General features: G+C 33.8%; 1 protein-coding gene and 1 non-coding gene across 4 annotated transcripts in view; both read right to left on the minus strand.

Annotated features, from left to right (window-relative positions):
• MGAT4C (MGAT4 family member C) overlaps positions 1-25,135 on the minus strand; it is an 883,334-nt gene that overhangs the window by 772,537 nt on the left and 85,662 nt on the right. The gene's annotated exons all lie outside the window — the stretch shown is intronic.
• On the minus strand, positions 16,865-16,946 carry MIR3059 (microRNA 3059). Its single transcript, NR_162123.1, has one exon. It is a non-coding gene; the product is annotated as a microRNA 3059 (primary transcript).

The raw sequence follows: 25,135 nt of genomic DNA on the forward strand, positions 1-25,135 counted from the left end.
TAACTCTTGTTATGAACATAGATTTTAAAATGTAGTCAAGAAGTAAGAAAATTAAGGTCATTTTAATTCTACCTTGTGGAGTTATTCATTATTAATATTTGAGTCTACATGCCTGTCTTCTTCCCCTGTCTTATTATAGAAATGTTGGCTATTAAAGAAAAACACAAAGATATGTAAGATACAAAGATGTAAAAAATGAATGTTTGGCTGGTTGCAGTGGCTCACGCCTGTAATCCCAGCACTTTAGGAGTCTGAGGCTGGTGAATTACCGGAGGTCAGCGGTTTGAGACCAGCCTGGCCAAGATGGTGAAACCTCGTCTCTACTGAAAATACAAAAATTAGCCTGGCATAGTGGCGAGCACCTGTAGTCCCAGCTGCTCGGGAAACCGAGGCAGGAGAATCGCTTGAACCCGGGAGGCAGAGGTTACAGTGAGCTGAGATCTCGTCACTGCCCTCCAGCCTGGGTGACAGAGTGAGACTCCGTCTCAAAAGAAATGAATATTTATTATACTCCCGCTCACTACTGTTGAGTTTGCTGCATATTAGGCCACACTTTTTTCTCCGTACATACCAATGTGTTTTAACATTATTGTCTAGTGTACAAATATATGTATAGATACCACTACATAATTATGAAAATACACTGTTTTCTCACTTACTTTTTGTCTTAGCATTATATCTTAGATGCCTTTCGATATCAATTCAAATACACCTACTTATTTAATGATCATATACTTGTAATAAAAGAATAAGAAGGATTAATTCACATGTAGCTTTCTAGTAATAGAATAATTCTGCACTTAACTATAACTCTTGATTATTAAATAAGGTTTTATAGTTAAAACATAACAAGACTAAAGTGATTTTGCAAGAAGACACATAAAAGATGGTAAGGAGAATTGATGTTCTGTGCAAATTTCAATGATAGATGCTATTATATTTGCTAGCACCACAGGGTAAGTATAGTCAAAAATCATTTAATTGTACATTTAAAATAAGTAGAAGAGTATCATTGAATTGTTTGTAACACAAAGGATAAATGCTTGAGGTGATGGATACCCCAGTTACCCTGGTGTGATTATTATGCATTGCCTGCCTGTATCAAAATATCTCACGTAACCCACAAATATATACACCTACTATGTATCCACAAAAATTTAAAAAAATAAAAATTTTTAAAAAAAGGAAATAAACTTTTATAACTAATAAAGCCAAACACTTCCTTCACTGAAGGCAGGTGTAAAAGATTTGATTCTGAATAGAATAGTGTGAGATTACTGGGAGATTAATTCTAAAGATTTTCCTAGGTTGATGCTAAGAACTGCTATAAGTTATTTTCCAAAATTGAGAGGGCATTTGAAACTTAGGAGCTATTTAAATATTGTTTAATTTTTATTTCAACTAACTTATTTTTGTCAAATTTATATGCATATATATTAAATATAAAAACAAAAAAAACTGTGGAAACAATCATGTATTAAAAGGATGATATGCATTTGAAGAATGGACACTTATTCTCATAACAAAAGCCCTGAAAAAATGTTGTACAACACTTCATCTAATATCTAAGAAATCATTCCCCTAGATGGGAGTAGAGTATCTGTTCCAGTTTTTTCTAAGTTGTTGACTTTTTAATGGGAGATTTAAAATGTTTATACAGACTTCAATTGCTCTTGTTCCTAATAGGCACCATCAGAAATAACATGCTTTATACTGTTCAAGACAAATTTGTAAAAATAAATCACTTCTCATTTTTTTGATATTAATCATGGCATAGTTTCTTTTTTAAATCTTAGGTGATGGAAAAATAAATCATGTGCTGTGAATACCCTTTGAACCACAAGCATTGCAAATTGACATTACAGCATAGATTTTTCATCTTGACAGCTTATCGTAGGAGCCAAATAGCCCCAGATTTTCATTAAAGAAGAACCAAATAAATCTGGTCGAACATAAATAAAACAAAATATTTGTTTATCACTGTAAAGAAATCAACTTGTAGATTGAATTCCATATAATATTTATGTCAACTGCTACTTGATAGATTAAAATTAGCAGTAATTTTGTTGTTTTGAAAGGGCCAGAGAAAAGGGAATTTATTAAATTAAGAAACTGCACCTCAATTTGTTTTAAGGGTAGGAAATAAAAAGTAAACACAGGAATAAAGTCATATCATCTTTTTCAAGGCACAGAAGAAAAAACATGTACAAACATGCTACAGAGTATTTGATTAACAGGAAATGCTTCTGCCAATACAAATCTCAATGCTATAAGCTGTTGTTTTGTCAGCGTACTTGTAGGATAAAAGGAATCAGCTTGAACGTATTCTAAAATACCCAGAAATAGTGTCTCTGTGCAAATATGTGATATATTGACATAAAAAGATCAGATGAGCAATTTTTTTTCTACCATAAATTCATACAAAGAGCCAGAAAAAGAGTCAAGGATCTCCTGCTATTGCAGAATATTTCATTAAAGGTAAATTTCCAGTAAAATACTGCTGTGTTTTTGGAGTAGAAATTAGGTTCTGCACATGACGTGGGTTAAAGAGGATATCTAAGTAAATATAAGACAATTTAACGCAGAATCTAAATTAAGGATTATGATCCTCCTCTTCCTTTTAAAAAATATTTTTATTATAACCGCTATTAACAACTATTGTTATATAATAGATGTTGTGCTTATTCTTCAGATGTGTTCACTTTATTTAATCCTCCACAGCACTTCTATGAAGCAGCTATCATTAATGCCACTCTAGAAATGAAAAAACTGGTCACAGAGAGACAGTAATTTGCTTTTGGTCAACTAGTTAGTGAGTGTCAAAGGCAGAAGTGAAGTAAGATTATCTGATTCCAGTGGCTGTTCTTTTGATTCCTGTGTAGATGTCAAAATAACCCATTTGTATAGAACTTTGAGAGTTCTTAAAGAAATTTTAAGCCTCTTATCTAATTTTTCACTTGTAACTATTATATTCAGTCTGTGGGGTGGTAGCTGTTCTGTATAATAGAGACACTAAAAATATATCTGGTTTTTAGTAGTAGTTCTAGGAGTGATTAACTTCAGAGCTTATGATATTATCAACTGAAGATTCTATTGCAATTGCATCTCCCTTGCCTTCTGCCCAATCCAGCTTCTCTTACTTCTTTCACAGTGGTTTTCTCTAAGAATAATACCCAAATAAATTTCTTGTATGTTAATCCATATTTAAGAGTCTATTTCCAGGGACACTGACCTAAAATAGTAATTTTTCAAAATCAAGCCATTCTCTTGAGTCTTTTGTTGAATCATCTTAGTCTCTTTAAAATTCTTTTGCCCTTTTCTTATTTTTTTTCAGTACCTTCGTTTATTGTTGTAACCTATGAAGTATATTTGTTTTTTAGTTATGTTATTCTGTTCCCATATTAGGAGGCTCCAGCTTGTGGCACTTTGTTTCCTTAGGTGTTTTGTGATTTTTCTTTAGTATAAATTTATATTTCTAAATTTTTATTTGTGATAATTGCTTGTAGTGACTGAAGACAAGTTCTTCTGGGAAAAAAAATGCAATTGTTTCTGCTACGGATTGGGGGCTATACCAACCTAGATGCACTTTAAACTGTAGTATTGCATTAAGGTTTTCGCATCACACAATTTGAGGAAATTCAGGCTGCAATCCAACATAAAGGCTGTTTTTTAGCTAGAAGCATTACTTTTTTCCCCCTTCATTCAGCACTAGAAGTCAAGATAGGTATAGCTCCTTATAAAACCCTGAATGAGTGGACATTTATTCCTGTTTTATGCTTAAAGGAGGGGCTAGGCCATTTGCTGGGCCTAGGTTTATGCAGGGATTATGCTTTCGATTTTCTATTTTCAGCCACCACTGGACATTTTCTCTCTATACCTTGTGCTTTGAAAATATATGAAAACAAAAACTCAAGTTTACTAGAATGTGCAATGGCTTTCAAGGTGGAAACCAGTATCAGCATTCTGCTTGTCACTTTCATTTTATCCTTTCATTTACTTATGCCTTGGATACTCTTTACTTTCTATTTAGTTCATCAATGCATTTGAATGTTTTAATACAACAGTACCAATCTTTTTGGCACTAGGGACTGGTTTCGTGGAAAACAATTTTTTCACAGACCGGGGTGGGGGCATACGGTTTCAGGATGTTTCAAGTGCATTACATTTATTGCACACTTTATTTCTATTATTATTACATTGTAATACATAATGAAATAATTATGTAACTCACCATAATGTAGAATCAGTGGGAGCCCTGAGCTTTTTTTCCTGCAAATAGATAGTCCCATCTGGGGGTGATGGAAGACAGTGACAGATCATCAGGCATTAGATTCTCATAAGGCGTGTGCAACCTATATCCCTTGCATGTGCAGTTCACTAGAGTTCGGACTCCTGTGAGACTCTAATGCCAAGACAGATCTGACAGGAGGTGGAGCTCAGGTGGTAATGCATTGATGGGGAGCAGCTGTAAATACAGATAAGCTTCTCTTGCTCTCTGGCCACTCAGGTCCTGTTGTGTGGCCTGGTTCCTAACAGGCCATGGACCAGTATTGATCTGTGGCCCAGGGTTTGGAGACCCCTGTTTTAACATATTCAGCATTTATGTTTTGTTTGTTTTCTCCAGCAAAAAAAAAAAAAAAAAAGGATGAGCAGATTAACCATTCAGCCATACTGCAGAAAGGTGTTTCTCCCAGTAACAGTCATCAAATTGCTTCATTTTTAACATGTGGTCCTTTTCCCCCAGCCCAGCCAGCTGTAATTAAGTGAAAGTACAGAGCAGAGATGTGAACTCTTTTTCATTTTAATAAAAGCTATATTACTGACATAATAGACGAAGATTTGGAAGAATGAAAAATTAAATCAGTCTTCCCTCTCATTATAACTAAAGGATAATTACTCTATCCAGTATAAAGAAAGGTTGAAAAATGCATTAGAGAGAAATACTTAAAAACTGATGGGATCTAAGAAGACTCTTTTCATTGTATTTTCTGCTATCATTGAGAAGTACATGAGATTTTGACAGAACCCACAGAACAGTTTGGAATTCTAAAAATACCACATTTTCCCTTAATTATTTCTGGAACAGTGTAAAGAATTATGCTTTTAGAATTCCCTAATAACCCAATGAAAAGGGTTAAGATGTATTTTTGTTGCTTAAGAAGGGGAAGGCACAAGGCAGCCATAGCAAGTATCCTATGATCCCCGAGTAACAAGAAGAGCAAAACAAACAAACAAACAAACAAACAAACACAAAGTTTGGCTGAGAGAAAGCAAGCAGATGTTGAAAGGGTCTGTGATTGTGATAAGAAGACATTATAACAAAGAGTAGTGTAAAATGTATGTCAAGAAACCAGGTGGAAATACAGAAACCTCAACAGATGCCAATGTGGTGGGTATGTGAGACATGATTGTACATCACAATAGATGTCAGTATAGGACAATGGAAGGCTGATTCCCAGATGCCTCACCATCTAATATAATTGTACTGTATGAACTTTCCAGAAGTTAAACCAATCCAAAAAGCAAGGAAGAAGGGGGGGAGACAATTTTGATTTAACTGAATTAAAACCCAAAATGCCTGAGAATCCTTTAAAACCTCTGAACTTACTTGGAATTGATTCAGTTAAGTTTTTCTGCCTCTAAGCAAAATGGGAATGTAATTAGAAGACAATTCTGTTTATGAAAAAAATAATGAAATTAAAATAAAGCGAATTACATATTGTGTTCACTTGAATTTTACAAAATATGTATCCACTACATGTGGAGATCAAGAGGCTAGTCTCTCAAGAAAAATGTCGTGGTCAATTCTGTAAAATACTGCCGACAGCTAAGGTAGGATGGGAATATGTAGGATCTGGCAACAAGTTATTAATTGGTGACATAGAATCAGAACTCTAGTGTGGCAAAATTAAATGAAAGTTGAGAAAGTTTAAGTTGCCTTTATAAAAGAGAAAATAAAAACTGTTGTTAAAAGCTAGTTATGAAGGGAGATTGAAATAAAAAGACAAATTAAAAATAATTGCTAACAAGAGATATTAGGTCGAGACAAAGCATGCCATGTTTTATTTAAGATTAGGGATATGAGGTCATGTTTGATCAGAAGGAGACTGTGACAGAAATTAAGATGTTGAAGACTCAGGAACAAAAACAGCTAAAAACAGTGGGAGTAGAGGGGAATGCATGTGCAGGGGCTGAACTTGAATCGGAGCAGCGTGTCCTTCATTCTAATGGAAAGGGGCATAGTATGAGCTGAATATTTGTGCCCTCCTCTCAAAATTCATATATACAAATCCTCAGCCCCAATGTAATGGCAGTAGGAGGTAGAGCCTTTGATAAGTGATTATGTCTTCAGGTGGTGCCCACTAGAATAAGATTAATAACCCCCATAGAAAGAGACCCAAGAGAGCTTGCTTCTTCTCTCTCTGCCCTGTAGCACATGAGGATACAAAAGAAGACCACCGTCTACAAATCAGGAGGAGTGCCCTCACCGCAAACCAGATCTGTCAGAGCCTTGATCTTGGATGTTCCAGCCACTGGAATTGTGAGAAATAAATGATTGTTGTTGAAGTCACCAAATATGTAGTATTCTATTATACAGTAGCCTGAACTGATGGGACAGAGAGGCAGCAGGTCAGTTCTTACATATGGTAGCAAAAAGATTATGTAGTTACCATCTGCTGTATTTGTTCTGGTAAGAAGTGAAATAATATACTGAGATTAAGAGAGGGAGGAAAGGAGTAGGAAAACATTTAAATAGTGTGTATAAGATGTTATTTAATTGCGGAACTTGGCCGAGTAAACTTGCTGAAGAAACATGATTTTTTGTGTGTTTTGTGGAAAGCCCACTTGAGTTTGGTTCTCTACATAAACTGTAGAGAATCCAATCTACTTAGGATGCTTTGCTATTCAGGGATTTTGTCCAGAGTTTCCATCTCGCCTAATGAGTGCGAGATTAGAACAAGGGAGTCAAGAATATTTTAAACACAGTAATAGTAAGTATTATGCAAAAATGAAGAGAAGCTGGGTGTGAAGAGTGTGAAAGTATTAGGGAGATGACTAATCCCGAGAGAGGGTCAGTGAGTTGGGCCCCTCCTTGTAGAAATCATTTGTGATGATGGTAGCTGTTAAGGTGATGATTTCAGTTGATGAAATCATCAATGATTTGAAAGAAGTAACTGGAAAATTTGTAAACACTCCACATCAGAAAGGAAAGGGGGAGGTAGACACGGAAGCCAGGCAGTTCAAATCTGATGGTTAAAGCTTAGCAGAAATAATTGCCTGGAAGCAGCACAAGGAAGCAAGGGAGAATCATAATCGTGAAGAATCTGTGATGGATAGATTTCTATTTCATTTTGGGGTCAATGGAAGTATTTGTGAACATGGAAAAATGTGTCATTTCTTTGAATGGGCTGCCTTCTAAGAAGGCAGTCACAGGAAATACTCAAATAAAGACTAAATATTAGTTATACTGTGAAGAAGTTATTTTGTATCTTCAGATACAAAAGATTAGATCATATAATCTTTGAAATCTCATCCTACTCCAACATCTCTTCTGAAACTGACTGTTCATCCTCCCACCACCTACATGTTTTTCTCTTAAGTTCAGTTATTAGCAAAATCGACTATATCCTTAATCTCTTCCTTGAATGTCTGTCACACTGACTTGCTCTAACTTAAACCTGGCTATTTTCCAATGATAACCTTTCTTCTGCATACTTTATATGTTTTTACCCAAAGTGGGTAAGTGTATTTTTGTATTAACCACCCTGAAGAGATATTCATACAACTGTCTTTACCTTTTCTATAAAAAGCCTCTCTCTGTTGCTGTCATCAAAAGTCCCCTTCCTTTGTTCTTTGATAATCTTAGTTCTTTACTCATTGTAATTCTCTCCAAAACTACTTCTGTGGTAATTAATTCACAGTTGAAGACCTAGCTTCTCCATTCTTCTTCTCAATCATCTTGGTCCCCATTTTAACTCCAAAACTAACTTCTGTGATTGTATCCATGACTTTACAGTAAGCCACACTGTTGGCTTACTAACAATTACTATTATCCTAACACCTCAATTTCAAATATGTCTTATAATTTTCTATTTTTTCAGCTCAATCCCTCTTAGAACCCAGCTCCAAGAATCTTTTGAAGCCACTGAAACCTTACCACTTTTCTTTATGTCTCCTTCCTCACCCAACATTCATACTTCCCTTATTATCCGGCTTAAATTTTATTGCTAATCACTATAAAATCACTTCCTTAAATGCAACATTGTTTCCTATCTTATTTGTATAGTATATTAACTAAATCACCCCAACAATGATTGAAAACAGTTCTCCACATACTATTCATCTGCACCTCCACCAGTGAACGAGCCTGGAGGGAAAACCAAACACCCAGGACTGACTCTCCTTTAAGATCATGAGCACTAACTCACATTGTATCATCCTAATTCATTCACTTTTTTACTGTACCTATATAGAAGTCTTCTGTACTATGTCCTCTTGCCTCAAAATTATCCACTGTCTGCTGTGACCACTTTTTCTACTTCACAGAAGAAAGAAAATCATTTAAAAGACAAATTACAAAAACTGTCTCTTCACATCCATTTTCCCACATTTATACTTGAATATTCTAATTTATTTTATTAGCATGGACTGGACCCTAAGTAAATACAGTCCTTCTATTGTGTACATAACCTTATCCCTTTCCTTCTCGTGGGCATTGCTCTAGTAATTTTCCCATCTCTCTCTTGAACCATCAAATTTTCCCATCAACTGGATCATATCCATCAACATCAAGCTAACTTGCAATTCTATAAAAAAAAAAAAAAAACCTGCCAATTTTATAAAGACAAATTATCTTGGCCCACTTTCTCTTCCAGCTATTATCTCATTTCTCTTCTATCAATAAAGTAAAACTCATTGAAATGGCTGCTTCGCTTGATTCCTTAAATATTTTTCTACCTATTTTCTTTTGGGTCAACTATCATCAAATTTTTATCCCCACAGCTCCAGCATAACTGCTCATTTTGTTGTTAAAATTAGTTTCTACAGTGCTAAGTCCAATGGTCAATTTTCAGTACTCACCTTTTTTGGCCTATCAGAAGCAATTGGCACCATTGATGAGTCTAGCCAACTAAAATACTTTTTTTTTTTTTTTTTTTAACTTGGCCTCTTTCCTAATAACACACGGGCCTGGTTTTCCTTCTATTTTGCTGACTACTTTTCCTCAGTCTACTTTTTTCTTAAATAATCTAGAAAACCTCTAAATTTTAAGCTACCTCAAGATTCAATCTTTGAACTGTATCTCTATATTGATTCCCCTAAGTGATTTCATCCAGTTTCGAAGACAAATTCCATGCCAGTACCGATGCCTTTCAAATTTATGTCTCCAGCTCCTAATACTTTCTGAACTCCAAACTTACTTGTACAACTACATAAGCTAGTTATATAAAATTTAATAAGTCAAGAACAGAGACCTTCACATCCACCCCTAAAATTTCCTGTTTTGTCTTCACCAACACAGTCAATAACAATTCTTTCCTTCCAGTTTCCCAGTTAAAAAAAAAACAGACTTCCTTTAGTCTTTTATTTTTCTCTCACATACACAACTTGAGTAAATACTACTGGCATTTCTTTCAAAATATATCTCAGCAATTCTTGCTTGCACACTAGTCCAAGTCTCTTACCTAAATTTTAGAATAAACTTCTACCTATTTCTCTGCTTTTTCTTTTACTTTTTAGTCTATTTTAAAAAGAAGCCAGAGTGACCCTGGTTAAACTTAGGACAGATCACAATACCACACTACTGAAAAGGCTTTAATTGATCACTGTTTTCCTTTTCAAAGTGAATGCTAGGGCATTCTATTTGTTCTGTAAACTTACTTATAATCTGACTTTCTTCTCCTCATGGACCTCATCTACCACAACATTTGTACTCAGTCATTGCCTACTCCGCCTTTATAATTTCAAAACTGCATTAAGGTCACACACCACCTGAAGGTCTTTGATCTGGTTGTTCCCTTTTTCTGGATTCTCTTCTCACACATATTTGTTTTCCTTCATATCTTAATTTTTTAAATAATGTTTTTAGTGAGGTATTCCAGCCAAACTACCCCAATTAAAATTGTTATTTTAATTCTTAGACTTAACATGTCCTTAACTTTTTAAAAAATTGTATCACTTGCTACTATTCAATATATGGATACTTTATATAGTTCCTTGGTTAATTTGTTTTCCTTCTAGAATAAATATCTTCATACAGGTGAGGATTTTTGACTGCTTTGTTCAATAATGGATCCACAAAGCTGATACACAGAGCAGGTACTCAATTAATATTTGTTAAATGAATCATGCCATTCATTCAATTTTATAGTCAGTTGCAAGTATGAAATTCAGTTTACATTCATCCAACTCATACGAGGAGTGCGTTACATATTGTTCGATTTTATTACTGCTTTTGGAAGTCAGCCTCTGTATCAATACAATTTCAGGACTGATTATTAATAGAAAATGTTAAGAATATGACACATATGTCTATGCATTTCAATTGTAAAAATAAATTAAGTCCAAGACTGGGCTTATTAATTAGGACTTTGGGGTTGAATTTCCAACCTTGCCACAAAATTAGCTGGTCCTGTGAATCTCTAAAACTGAAGAGGTTGAACACAAAAGCCCGTTTATATTTTTTTATGGTGTCCATGCTATTACTGGGAAAAAGCTCTTTTATCATAAAATTTTATTAAATACCTATTCATAGCTATAGCAGAAAGGGACAAAAGGAAGATTTTTGGTGTAGTAAGCATTGAATAAATGCCATTAAATGATTGTCGTTAGGGTATCCACTTTTATTTATTATTGTCATTCCAATTTTTGTCTTATTACTCTCCTTAAGATGGGTAAAGCAGATTTTTAATTCAGCTATGTTTCCCTGTGCAAAAAAAAAAAAAAAAAAAAAAAAAAAAAATCTATGTTATAATTGAGACAAAAGCTTTTTGGAAAGCAAACAAATAAGCTACAAATGATATAAACTTAAGTCAAAGCAAACATTTTTCAATGTTTGTAGTACCTGTCCTAAAGATATGCTGTTATATTTACAAGTCTATATTTTATTCATAAAGAGTAAATTTCCAAATTCAAATACATGTTTATTCAACTTTAAAATTTATATATTCAGATATAAATCATTTTTAGTCATTTACTCTTTTAATAACATCCAAACTAAATAAAGCATATATTCTCACTTAGGAAGAATATGTATATACAGTTAGCCCTCCATATACATGGGTTCTACAATCGTAGGTTCAGCAACTGCAGATGTAAAATATTTGGGGGAAAAAAAAAGGATGGTTGCATTTGTACTGAACATGCACAGACTTTTCTTATCATTATTCTCTAAACAATACAGAATAATAACAATTTACATAGCATTTACATTGAATTAGATATTATAAGTAATCTAGAGATTATTTATACTATAAATGAGGATATGCACAGGTTATATGCAAATACTACACTATTTTATATAAGGAACTTGAGCATCTATGGATTTTGTTATCTGCCTGGTGGTCCTGGAACAAATCCCCCTTGGATACTGAGGAACAATTATTTTTGTGTGTGTGCGTGTGTGTGTATATATATTTATTTATGTATGCACACAAACACACACACACACACATATATATACACACACACATAAGTCCTAAGGCATATTATATATATATATGTTTCTGTAAATTGAGAGTCTATTTATAATATAATATTCCTTATGAGCTATTCATAGCTAAAAAGCTTCTCCAAGGATGCTGAGTACTCCATTTTTATCCCCAAGTCCATAACTGTTGCTGATTCACAATCATTATTTTTGAAATTACAAAGATACTTGAAGCAAAATGTTCATTTTCATTTTAGCAAGAACCCTTCATTATTTCAATCCTTTTCCAAATTCTTTGCAGACAATGTTGAAAGCTATGTTCTCTTTTTATGAAGACAATAGAATTAATTTTGTTTCAGATTATTATGAGAAATGTGGAGTTTTAGAATCTTTTTTTCTTTGAAAAAATACTACTTTTGTGATGGTTCAAAAGTTGTAAAAATAATCATGGTCATAAGGATAGGATTCATTATATTTTTATAATGCTTTTTGCTTTCTTTTGTAGATTTTGTTCAGTAGAAAATTTTAAAGCCAAATTGAAGAAGTTTGTAGAAGTGTGTTTATAACACTGAAATAAAATTGAAAGACTAAATGTAAGCTTTTATTAACCAAAAAGATAATAGAGGGTGCATTTAATTAGAATATTAAATTAGAACAAATAAAAATATATTTTTGAAATTTAATGCCACTTCTGATTTTGTAGTTTTTATGCATAAAACCATTTCTGCACAGTACATCTTTTAGAGTTGTTTGTACAGTAGAATGTCAATGTATGTTTTAGTAACACTTCTATAATAGGTTTCTCAGAATTCACAGGATTTCAGAAAAGCCTCAAAGTCCTCATGGCCTTCAATAGAGCAATTCTTGTAAAATAAATATCGGTCTGGTCTTATTCTTAATGACATTAAGTCAAAACAAGTAATTTAGATACAAATGCTAGGGATTTGTTATTTGAATGCACACAGTTCTTTAGTAAAAATTATTGCATCCACTTTTTAAAAAGTAATTTCAACTTTTATATACAGAGAGTACATTTGCAGGTTTGTTACATGGGTATATGATGTGATATTGAGGTTTGGAATACAAATTCCGTCACCCAGGTAGTGAGCATAATATCTAATAAGTAGTTTTTGAACCCACACCCACCTCTCTCCCTCCCTTATCTAGTAGTCCACATTGTCTATTGTTCTCATCATTATGTTCATGTGTACTCAATGTTTAGCTCCCGCTTGTAAGTGAGAACATGCAGTACTTGGTTTTCTGTTCCTGGTTTATTCACTTAGGATTATGTTCTCCATACCCAAAAGAAAATAAATTGTTTTACCAAAAAGACACATGCACTCGTATGTTCATCACAGTACTGTTGACAATAGCAAAGACCTAAGGGCCCATCATTGGTGGATGGGATAAAAACAATTTAAAATAAAGACATTTAAAATGGTTTTAGATTATACTTTAAATTATTTGGTTTTATTTTCAGTTGTTCCAAGTTATCAAACGTAGAAATTGCTGTATAATATTTTTATATGATCCTCTTTTGAAACTATAATGCATATTATTGTTAAAATAACACACTGAATGTAGTAATTTCCTCACTTTTTGCATAACAGTAACTAAACAAAAAAGTGGCTTAGAAATATTAATTTAAAAATTGGAAAACCAACGTGTTTTGTTTGGTGGCATTTTAGTTATCTGAAGTGTAAGTAATGCTTGAAAATTGTTTTATATAATTGTCAAGAAGCAAAATAAAATTTACTTTTAACTCAGAATACAAAATGACTACGCAGAATCAGTCTCTGACACTACTCATAGAAAGCACCCCCAAAGATTTCAGAAATTTCATGCAAGAATAGTTTTGCTTGTGCACAATGATTCATCTTCCTCTTATTCCTACCCAACTGCCTGAGATTTTCATGTCATCTAAGGACTCTTCTAATCCTGAGATGGTACTTTTGAATAGGATCTCCCTTTAGAATACTAAATATAATAAAGAACTATCATGAACAGTAGAATTTATTTAACTCCTCCATAGTTTTAGACTACATATTTAAAAGTAAACAAGCAAAACAGTTTACAAAATTGTTTTCTGTATTGTATTTAAACAACATTATTTTCACATATTTGATTATGTACCTTTAACTTGTAAGGCTTATTTGTTTATTTAGACATTGAAAATTAATAAGGTGGAGTTAGTCTATGGTTCTTTGTAGTTAATTTATATATTTATTCTTATTTCTATGGTTTCTTGGGTCACCTTCTGGGTTTAGGGTTATCAGAGATTCATATTTCATATATTATTTACCTCACACTGTACACTCCCTGATACAAGTTTCTGAAGAAAAGCATAGTGAATATTTGCTGATTAACTAAAACCAACTGAGAATAAATATATCTTTGCACTCCCTATTTGGAATATTTTGTTGTTTGTAAAAATTCTTCCTTTTTCTCAAGTGCTTGCTGCATGTTCAGTATTTGTAGAGTATACTTCCTTAATTGATTAATATTAAGCATGGCTCTTTAACTTGCTTTAACCATTAAAGAAGGGGCAGGTGAAACTTCAGAGTTAATAAAAAGTTGCATTTATCTGTTTCTGCTTAATAGTGCCTTAAAAGATGTTGCATTTATGTGTTTCTGCTTCCACCTTGCTCCATGAGTATGACATGCCTCAGTTTGCCATTTTTGCTGTAGTCAGATTCCCAGAATGAATACACATGAACCAAACCCTGTGATCCGGTTTAGTCTGTTTAGCCTAAATGAGATTAGTGGACCTGAAGACTACTGAGATTAAATGAATAATTATTGAGCCATTGAGTTTCTGGAGGTTTGTTATGCAGCATTATCCTGGTAGAAAAATGGCAAACACTCCTTAGCATAGTAAATTAGTATATATTCAGAGCCTCTTAATATAATTGTAAATAAATATGAAAAGATAGGAACCATCTTGGCATGTAATCAATAATAAAAAAATAATACTAACATATCTTAAATCTTCCATCTTGATTAAATAGTGTTCACAGTTGATTTGTTATTCCCAAACTAAAGCTATTACACTGTACATACATTTGCATAATATTTCAAAGAGCAAAATATGTAACACTTTCATTATTCCAAGAAAAATGTGTTTATGTATATATGTGTGTGTGTATGTGTGTATGTGTATGTGTGTATGCATGTGTGTATGTGTATGTGTGTTTTGCATGTGTGTATGTGTATGTGTGTATGCATGTGTGTATGTGTGTATGTGTGTGTATGTATGTGTGTATGCATGTGTGTGTGTGTGTGTGTGTGTGTGTGTGTATAGAAGTGTCATTTCGGGGTCAGTCTCAGGTTACTCTCTGGCTTCCATTCAGACACAATAAGTACGGCAGAGTTAATATAAGCATTTCTTCACAAAGAACTAGGGAAATGGCCATACTGTGTAACTTTAAAACTTTTTTAACATTAGAGATAGATTATATACAAAGAAAATATATTCTCAATTATATATTGTTGAAAATTGCAATGCATACTTCAGTGATTTAATAACTTATGGTACATATACATTTTATATTTTAAAAGATAATGTATCCCAGGGGAAAACCAGCTTTCTCCTGAAGAGATTATTTTACACTTGATGTAAATGTTTAGAAAGTATTGGCACAAAATAAGACATTACAGCTTTCACATAAGTTTTCTGGCTATGATAGATTTCTGGGTCCCTAAAGTTTCTGCTTTGCTAATTAGCCGGATAGTATGAAATAAAGACTCACAGGGATGAAAGCACAGAGGAAATAATGAATACATTTCCTTAATTTTACAGATTGTTAAACAAAGCCCAGGTTTTTCCAGGTTCATAAATTTTATTAAACTGCAAATCAATGTCCATCCCAGATACCTCTTTGGTCTTCCATCTCTATAGGATTACTACTTAGACAGCTGACTCCTGAAATACTAGTCAGGCATTTGAAATTTGACAGCTGTAAAATTAAATTTACTTTTATTTTTCACAGTTAAGTGTGGCTTTTTTTCTTACTCAATTAAATTGTTATTAAGTATTAAGTAGTATGAACGTTGGTATCAGCAGGAAAAAGTGGCACACTCAAAATGTAGTGATTTAGGAGACTTTAATGCAAGGGCAGTTTCAAAGTATAAGGACAAGTTCAAAGAAACCAACAAGGCATATGGAAGCACCCTGAGCTGAGCAACAGCAGGAGATATGAATATTACTTGGCTTGAGGCAGTGGGAAGGAACATGTACTGAAATTTACAGCGGGCTGAAGCTGGTGCTGTAGCTGCAACTACAAGAGAGTACTGCTCCACAAGAGCTGTAAAATTTGGTAGAGAAACTCAGCAAGGGCTAATTTATGGCCAGTTAGGGAGACAACCACGGAACTAAATAACTCAACTTCTTTCTACTCTACCATATTCTCTCCTGAGGATAGCTTCCATTACCCAGACTCAATAGGTTGCTAAGGAAAAAAAAAATATGATTGACAAAGACAGTAAAGGTTTGTTTTCTGGTGCCAAAGCAGGGTGGGGAAGAATAAACGGGAAACCTAGAATGGTAAACAGAGTGTATGTAGCACACTTGTACAGTGTTTCAAGAAAGAAACAGAAGAATCTTTCAAAATCTCTCCTCCTTCACTCCATCCAAGTTCATAGTACATTTTGGTTCATCTAAAACTCCAGTGGAACTCTGCCTCTCCGTGGATTGGTTTAATGGATTGAAGCAACCACTGGTGATAAATGCCAGCTCTCAGCACTTCTCATAATGAGGTAAAAAAAAAATCACAAGTGATTTAGATTCTCCATTATTCATTATTCACTATTTCAAGGTGCTTTATTATGAAATCCAGGACATTCTTAGCATAACAAATCCAGAGTTAGGAGTCTATGAGTATGGATGTGGGTGTGTCTTTGTAGAACACACTCTGAGATTCTGTGTGGTAAAAGCTCTCCTTCAAGTGTGTCACTTAAAAAATAGCTGCACCACATCTGAGGGCCCTCCACCACAGTATGAACAATTTTATGACAAGGATCCAAACCCGACAATTAAAAAAATTGAAACATAATAAGCTTAAAATGTGTATTGGTTCTGGGGAAGAGGCTGAAGTGACTTGTGGAAGAAGAACCATGATGCAAATCCGTTCTGCATGCATCAGCCTGCAATTTCCTTAAGCACTCCTGGACAGAGAAGAGAATGTGCCTGCAGGTAATGACTGAGCTGGAGAAATAGTAAGGCTGTTCACCCAACCTTCTCTTCCCTAGAGGGTAGTTAGAGCTACACCCTATGGGGCAGAGAGGAAAGGGTGTACCACCTGTGTTACACCTGTGCAAAATAAAGTTTTTTTTTTAAAAAATGGGCTCTTCACCATCTACTGAAAGACATTTCATCTTTTAAAATGATATGGAAGGTCTGGAATAACTGAATGATACCAAGAAAGGCATATATATTTAGATTCAAAATGGTCATGTAAATGAAGGAGTTCGCATCTGGAGAATGAACAAATTTCTGTGTAATCAAAGTATTTTTTACTTTGAAGAACTAAAGACACATTTGGTATAAAGGAAGTACCAATTTCAGAAGATATGCACATACTTCTTGAATATAATGTTGACTTTGCATTTCTACTTCTTATTCTGGAGTCCAACTTTACAATATAGCATGCATGGGTTTTTACAGTGTGGTTAAGTTTCAAAGGAAGTTAAACAGCAAGATAATAGTAACCCTTGGAAATAGAGGGGAAAATATATGAATGCCAGAAACATTGGCCTAGAAAACCAAATTTTTAGCATGATTTGTATCTGTTGAATGCTTAACTCAATGCCCATAATAATCATGTTTTGATTAATGGTGCATGAATGAATGAATGAGTAAATCTGGCTCCATTAAAGTATCTTCTTTTTAATAAAACTACAAAAATTTAAACTGAGAGTCCCTGTCTCTGGTAATGAATTTGTGTCAGAATCAAGATATGGAATGACTGAATACCCCCACATGAATCAATAAAGATTTCTTTCAGCTGTAGAAATAGAAATTCAGCTTCAGGAACTTAAGCCAAACAAAGATTTCAGGCATTTGTTTTAATGAGGCAGAATTATACAGCTGTCTATCTCTAAAAAAGGGAACATCACCATTCTCTGAAGTGGTGTTTGCTCCAGCCTCAGTGAGGACTATTACTGGAGTTTGTTCTTCTAGAACATTTCATCCCCTCTCATTCACTCTGCTCACAGAAAGCTGGCATCCACATTTCCCAGTGAGTAGTCAATGCAGTGAAATTCTCTTAGTGCTGGCTAAATCTCTCTTGCTCTCTTAGACTTTCCTATTCAAGGCAGAGCAAACACTTGTGGTATTGTCTGTCTATTTTCATTTCTTCTAACCCATTCTCCACAAGGCAGCTAGAAGGATCCTTTTAAAGCAGAAATTTTGTTGTGTTAAACCTCTGTTTAAAAACCTTTAGGGGCCCAGGGGCCTTAAAACCCTTTAAATGCCTCTGAAGACAGTTCAAATGTACTGATTTATCCTCCAAAGCTTTTGGTGATCTGTTATTTATGTTGCTCAGGAGACCACAAGTATAATTTAAGGGTGGGAAAATTACCCACTGTACTGGACTACCCTTGTAATGAAATCCTCACACTCACTAAATCTTGGTAATACCACTTCTCTGTCATTCTGACATACAAAAACATCTCCAGAGACCCCCAAATGTTCCTGAGAAGGCTGGAGAACCTGTTCAGTTAGGACTATTATTCACTGAAATACTAAACTTCAAATACAGTGAATTATTCACAGTTCACTTAACAAACAACAATAATCATTTTCTCTTACAATAATCATTTTCTCTTACCTCTGATCCTTCTACATGCTCCTCGCTCTTCTCTTCTGGAACAGTCCTTCACCTCCATAGACCTGACTAATTACAGGAAGATCAACAAATATCACCTTAGGTATCTTTTCTGAGCCCCCTCCAAATATAGGTAATGTCTCCTTCTGAGTTGCCGTAGAGACACCTTATACTTACCCTGGATGTGATAATTTAACAAAATAGTAGGATCTAATTACTTGTTTGTTTCGCTTGCTACATTTAAAGCCATTTGAAAGCAAAAATATTGTCCTATTCAGAATTGCGTTCTTGGTTTCCATCCTCTGATGTACTTACCAGGTAATGACTCATACTAGGTGCTTAAATATAAATGAAGTGATGAGGGTGGCACTAAACTTGGAACCTGATGAACTGAGTTTGAATCTGTACTTCAATACTATTTGTGTAATCTTGGACAAATCTCTGATAAACTCAGAGCATCCTCCAGTGCTCCTTATCCTGCAGGATTTCAGTGAGGATTAAATGAGTTAATGTATGTAAAATCTCTTTAAACACTGATTTATACTTAAAATCATTTTCAATTCAAACTATAATTTTCTAAATGTTAGTAGAAATGCCGTTGAGCCGTAAGTTGCATTTTCCTAAATGGCTTACAAACTTTCTGGACTGTGCAGCTTGTTAGAGAATTTAAATGGCTGTCCAACTAGGCGTGTATTTCAAAACAATTACTCAATTCAACTATTTAATCAGCCTGTACTTGTGTGGAGGTTGTTATAATTCATATTAAACTAGCTACTCACGAATAATTTCACAATTATTTCTCTTTAAAATTGTATTTTTTCTAAGTCCTCTAAAATTTTGTCCTAAATTGGATGAAACATAGCTAAATTATGAAAAATACAATAGCATATGGACAGCTATGTGTTAACAAAGGTTTTAGGGCAATGATCTTTTTCTTTTTCAGAGCAAATTTCACTATAGTTTTCTCTTAGTTAATATAATTGATAACAGTTATAGAGCTACTTGGCATTCTAAACATGCAGACATGTCTTTCGCTGTCTAAAGTAAAATTAAAAACTGCCAATAGTCTTTTATGTTCAGTGGTAGCTGGAAGGAAATTTTTTTTTTTAAAAAAAAGCTGGTAATAACTGGCTGATACGTGCAATTTGAAAGACGATAGACCTGAGTTGTGCGTATGAGGAAGGAATGACCCAAAGTACTGTGACAAATGCAGAAGAGAAACTATCCACACAATGAATGTGGGATGCTAAAGTCTTTAACAGTTAGCTCTGTAGCACATAAGTTACCCATCACAATTAATGTCAAGAAAGCTAATTTGATTAGCATCAATACTAAATTTATAAGCAATTAGGAACCAAGCCCTGTTTAACTCACTGCATTATTATTTATCAATTTATCAGTGGATATCTGATTAGAGAGATGTAAATACCTGCAAAATTCCTTTGACCAAGCCATGTGTAGCTCAAAGAAAAGGTGCTAAGCTTTGACCTATTAATAGGCTAAAGAGTCATACTAAGTAGTTGACTACTAAGGCACACTAATCTAGTCATTAGGACAGTGTCATCAACTCATTTTCATATAATATTGGCAATGAGAACTGTAACAAACAGTTCTAATTGTATAATTACCTTAAAATCTGCCTCTGGCCTCTGAATAATATCAAGAATTTATGATTATAGAAACTGGAAGCCTGGCGAAGAGCCAGAAATTAAACATTTTATTTCCAAGTCTACTCCTCAATGAAAGTTGAATCTCTAAGAATTTTGGCTCATGTACCTAACATGCAAACCTATTCAAGGATAATTGACTTTAACATTTAGGAAATACGTGATAAAAATACTACATGAGGTCAAGAGCCATGTATAAGAAGAGGAGGGGGAGCCCCAAGAACAGAACTGGAGGCCATGCTGAATTTTGGAAATCAGAGTAGGAGAATGAGTAGTCAGGGTCAGAAATACAGAGTGTGTAATATCATGTAAAGCAAAGAAACATATCAGAGGGAGATGGTAATCAATAATTGAGTATCCATAGAGACTTTAACTGTATAAGATGTGAATTTGACTATCTTGCTAGAGTTGGATTTTTTTTAAACATTTACAAAGCCATATCTTAAGAAAATTATCAAGAAATAAAGAAAATTTAAAAAATTTAGTATATTAGTAGGTAATTCAGCCAAAGAAGCTAGTAGGTGTTCACAATAGTTATTAATATTTAAAAGTGTTGAGTGCTTAATTTTAAATTTAAGCTGAAAGGAATATATTTTCTTTTAACCTTTTTTTTTTTTCAATTACATCCAAGCTTATTTAAAAAGTAGCTGACACATTGTTTTCTTTTTGTCTACCCACTCATTCTGGTACTCACCCCATCTGGTTTACATATCGTAAACCTGCCTAAACTACTCTTATTTCAGCAATTATCTTCTAGTCAGCAAAAATAGCTGCAAACAAACATGTTTAAAGTAATGTTAAGAGTAATCAGACATAATTGAATCGTGGTTTTTCTCAGTAGTTAAATATTTATTTGCTAACTTTCCATTCTTCTAAACAATAGATGCACTTTAAATATTTTATTCAATATTTAGTATCTTATAGAAATAAATTAAGACAATATGCAACCTCTTGAGTACTTCAACAGATGACCAGTCTTGTGTCTTGTTAATTGTATTATATTGCATTAATTTGCATAAAATACATAGAAACTTTTGCATCTGTAAGATGTCTAATGTAAACCCTATACCTTCATTCAATTGTTTTATGAGGAAATAGTATGTCATTGATCTTACTTTGATATGATTTTTCCTTTTAAAAGACAGTTCATTGCCCTCAAAATATTATAAATTAGGTAACAGAAAGAAAACCAAACAATGTATCAGATTTTAAAATTTTCTCTTAATTTTTAAAAATGTCAATTTTACAACTTTCCTCCCCCTACTAAATAATTAAAGACAAATCTGGCTTTTATGTTAAACAACTTAATTCTAAGTAGATGGAAAACATTGCATCAGATGGCAAAGAATGCTGCCAATTTTGGAGATTGTGCAGTGTGAAAATAAAAACTTATGACTATCACTGCATAAATTTTAATGACTTCTACCTTTTTGAGGGAAGGCTTTTCTTCAGTAAATAGAGTCCCATTTAGCTAGGGCACATATTCTAACTGATGTCAGTAGCCAAGTTACATGTATGTTAATAGGCACTGAGAATATAGATTTGCCTGGGTTGAATGGTGAGGATTAAGGTTTATTCAGTTTGATTATAGGAGCAACTTTGGTCACCTTGAATCTCTGAAAGAATATCTCGCATATGGTTTGAGCATAGTAGGAATCAATGTATTTGTTGGATTGTTGATTTTATCTCCCTAGTTCCCATATGACTGAACTGAAATGAGGTATATCTTGTCAAAATTTAGACAAATGGGAAGATTCTTGAGAAGAGTCTATTAAGAGAGAGAAGAAATAATTTGGTTTAAGTAAGCCTCTGGTAACTTTATTCAAATGTGGCCAATCCTTTCATAAGAACTAAAGTGGAGTATCATAGGCAGGAACATATGTGCAAGGAAGGTTATAGCTCAGCTGAAAAAGCTAAAACTACCAATCACTCTTATCAGAAAAGTCCCTACATAGATGAGGCTGAATTCAGCCTGAAGACATGTTCTTGTTTGTACTGTATGGTGTCTTAAAAGTGAACTTGAATATCATTAGTCACGGGCTATACTTTCTACCCACTATTCCCAATCATTTTAAACTAGATCTGCTTTACCTTCATTATTTTTTGACTCACCTCCAAGGCATTTGAGTGTGAGATGCTTGCCTAGACAAACAAACAAACAAAAACACAACAAAACAAACTTGTCCATGGTAGTCTTTCAGTTTTGCCCAGAAAAAGATCCCAGATAACAATTCAAACGAAAATATTACATTTGGGAAGATATTATAGTAAAATCTACTAAGGGAATAAGAAAGAAATACAAGAGAAAAAGAGCTGATGCAAGTTGTGTTGTTATGCTAGTTACTAATATAGGTAACTTGACCTCAATTCTCTGGGGAGCTTTGCAAGTCGATATAGAACAAGGACATCCTAACCTAGGGATAAAAGAGGTAGTATATATTTTATTTTACCAACTCTAGTCAACAATTGTTGAAGGCTAATAGGGCAGAATTGGGAGGCATTAATTTTCAGAAACTTCAGGCCAGACATGTAGGCTAGACTTTAACAGTTAGAAATGCACCTGAAGGGTAAACTTTAAGGAGTATGGCCTGGTCAGCCAGCATCTACGAGAGCTTGTGTTTGTTTAAAGTGCTGTGAGAGGGTTGTAAGTTACCTCAATAGCTCATACCGTAAGAGCCTTGCACATCATAAACCAAGGGGATGAGAACACAGTAAGGAGATCTTACAGATTAAGAACTTAGAACACCAGTGCCAGGAGAGGAACCAATGGAGGGAATGGGTTCATCACTGGTTTGAAAAATAGTTCCAACAAAATCCACTGGTATGCAAAATGTCAGGGTAGACAATCTACTAGAGAATATTCACTGAGGAACATTCTAGAAACTTAGGTTACTGCAGTGTTTCAGTTATAACACACTAAAGCAATCCAAAAAAATATAGAGCCATGTGGTCGTAGAAATTTTCTTGTACTCTACATTTTTTCTTGATTTCTTATGTCTATCAACTTGTGAGAATACTGCTGTACTTTTAACGAACATTAACCAGGTAAGTGTGCAGATGTAAAAATCCAATATCCTATGAAGATGTAAAATTAGAACAAAATCAAAGAAGATTAAGAACAAGTAAAAACTATTGAAATTTTAGCTTTTCCTTCCCACTCCCTGAATCCAGCCCCTGCACTCAGCTAAGTAATGGACATCTCAAGACAGACTAGCTTTGAATTTAAAGTGACTTATATTTATATCCTGAGTTTCTTATTTCTACCACTCTAATTAATAGCTTTAGCATAACTGCTATTTTCCATGAACTTCTTTATAGAAATACAAATTACAGATGGTGGTTTCTTAGAAAATTCAAAGCACATTGCTTAATTTATTGATGATTTGTAGTAAATTACACCATGTCAATAAGCAAATTAAAGCCTTAAGAAAGGCAAAATATCAACACAAGCCTATCCTCCTTCAGCTTTTGTTATGTAAATTGCTATAAAATGTGATAATACTATTATAATAAGGAAATAGAAGAGTATATTGCAAAATTAGGCTTATAAAATCTCAAAAGTTTTGTTAGGACCAGGCTTAATTCAGCATTTAACTGATATAAACCATATATTCAATAACATGTTTTAAGATATGAAGAATAAATGCTATTTATATTATTTTCATATGTCTTGGAGCACAATGAGACACAGAGACTTATAAAAGCATATCAAATATAATAATGATGTATCACCAGATTGAATGAGATAATTAAATTGTAATGCTCGCCAAGTAAAAGCTTCTATGTATTTTATATAGAAAAGTTATTTTGTGCTCTAAAGAGATATTTCTGGCCTGTTGGACTTATAATTTGTCTCTGTGAGATAAAGCTTATATTGTTGAGTTAATTAAATCCTGTGTCTAGTGTTCAATCATTCAGTTAGTGACATTTAGTCTCATGAATGTTCCACAGTTTATTAGATTAGGAATTTTAAACACAAAATTTCATAAAAAGTGAATACATACACAAATACCACACTCTCTTGATTATTCCAGTTTTAAAATGACTTAAAATCAGATAACACTAATCGTCTAGTGTTATCTAGAATAGTCAAAGCAAGCAAGTTGCCACTAATAACTGCCTTGGCTATTTTAGGTCTTTTAGATTTTCATAATAGTTCTAGAATTAGCTTGTCAATTTCCATAAAATTCCTTTGTGAGAACTGTGATTGGAACACATGAATGAATTTATAGATTCATTTAGTGAATATCAATATCTTAACAATATTTAATCTTCCAACACATGAACATAGGATATCTCTCAATTTATTTAGCTTTTCCTTAATTTCTTTCAGCATTCAAGATAGCCAAATTGTTAAGATAGAATGACCATTAAAGATAACAGAATAGAAAGTCCAGAAGTAGACCCATGCATATCTAGACAACAGATTTTTGACAAAGGTATGAAGGCACTTCATTGAACAAATATACCCTTTTTAAAATATCTTGCTGGAACAATTGCCTATCCATATGCAAAAAGTAAAACTTCATTTCATACTTCTCACCATACACAAAAATTTATTTCAAATGGATCATAGACCTAAATGTCAAACCTGAAACAATAAAACTTCTAGAGGAAACATGGGAAAGAACTTCTATAACCTTGAGTTAGACAAAGATTTCAGAAATACGTTACCAAAAGCATGATTTACAAAGACCAAATCTATAAACTAGACTTCTTTAATGTTAAAATTCGTGACCTATAAAAAACAATGTTGAGAGACTGAAAAGCCCCCCAAAGTCTGGCCATAAACTGGCCCCAAAACTGGCCATAAATAAAATCTCTCCAGCAAGGTAACATGTCCATAATGGCCATAACGCCCAAGCTGGAAGGTTGTGGGTTTACAGGAATGAGGGCAAGGAACACCCGGCCTGCCCAGGGTGGAAAACCGCTTAAAGGCATTCTTAAGCTACAAAGAAAAGCCTGAGCAATCTCTGTCTTAAGGGTGTGTTCTTGCT

Source organism: Homo sapiens, chromosome 12 (assembly GCF_000001405.40).
Source record: "Homo sapiens chromosome 12, GRCh38.p14 Primary Assembly".
Taxonomy (NCBI): domain Eukaryota; kingdom Metazoa; phylum Chordata; class Mammalia; order Primates; family Hominidae; genus Homo; species Homo sapiens.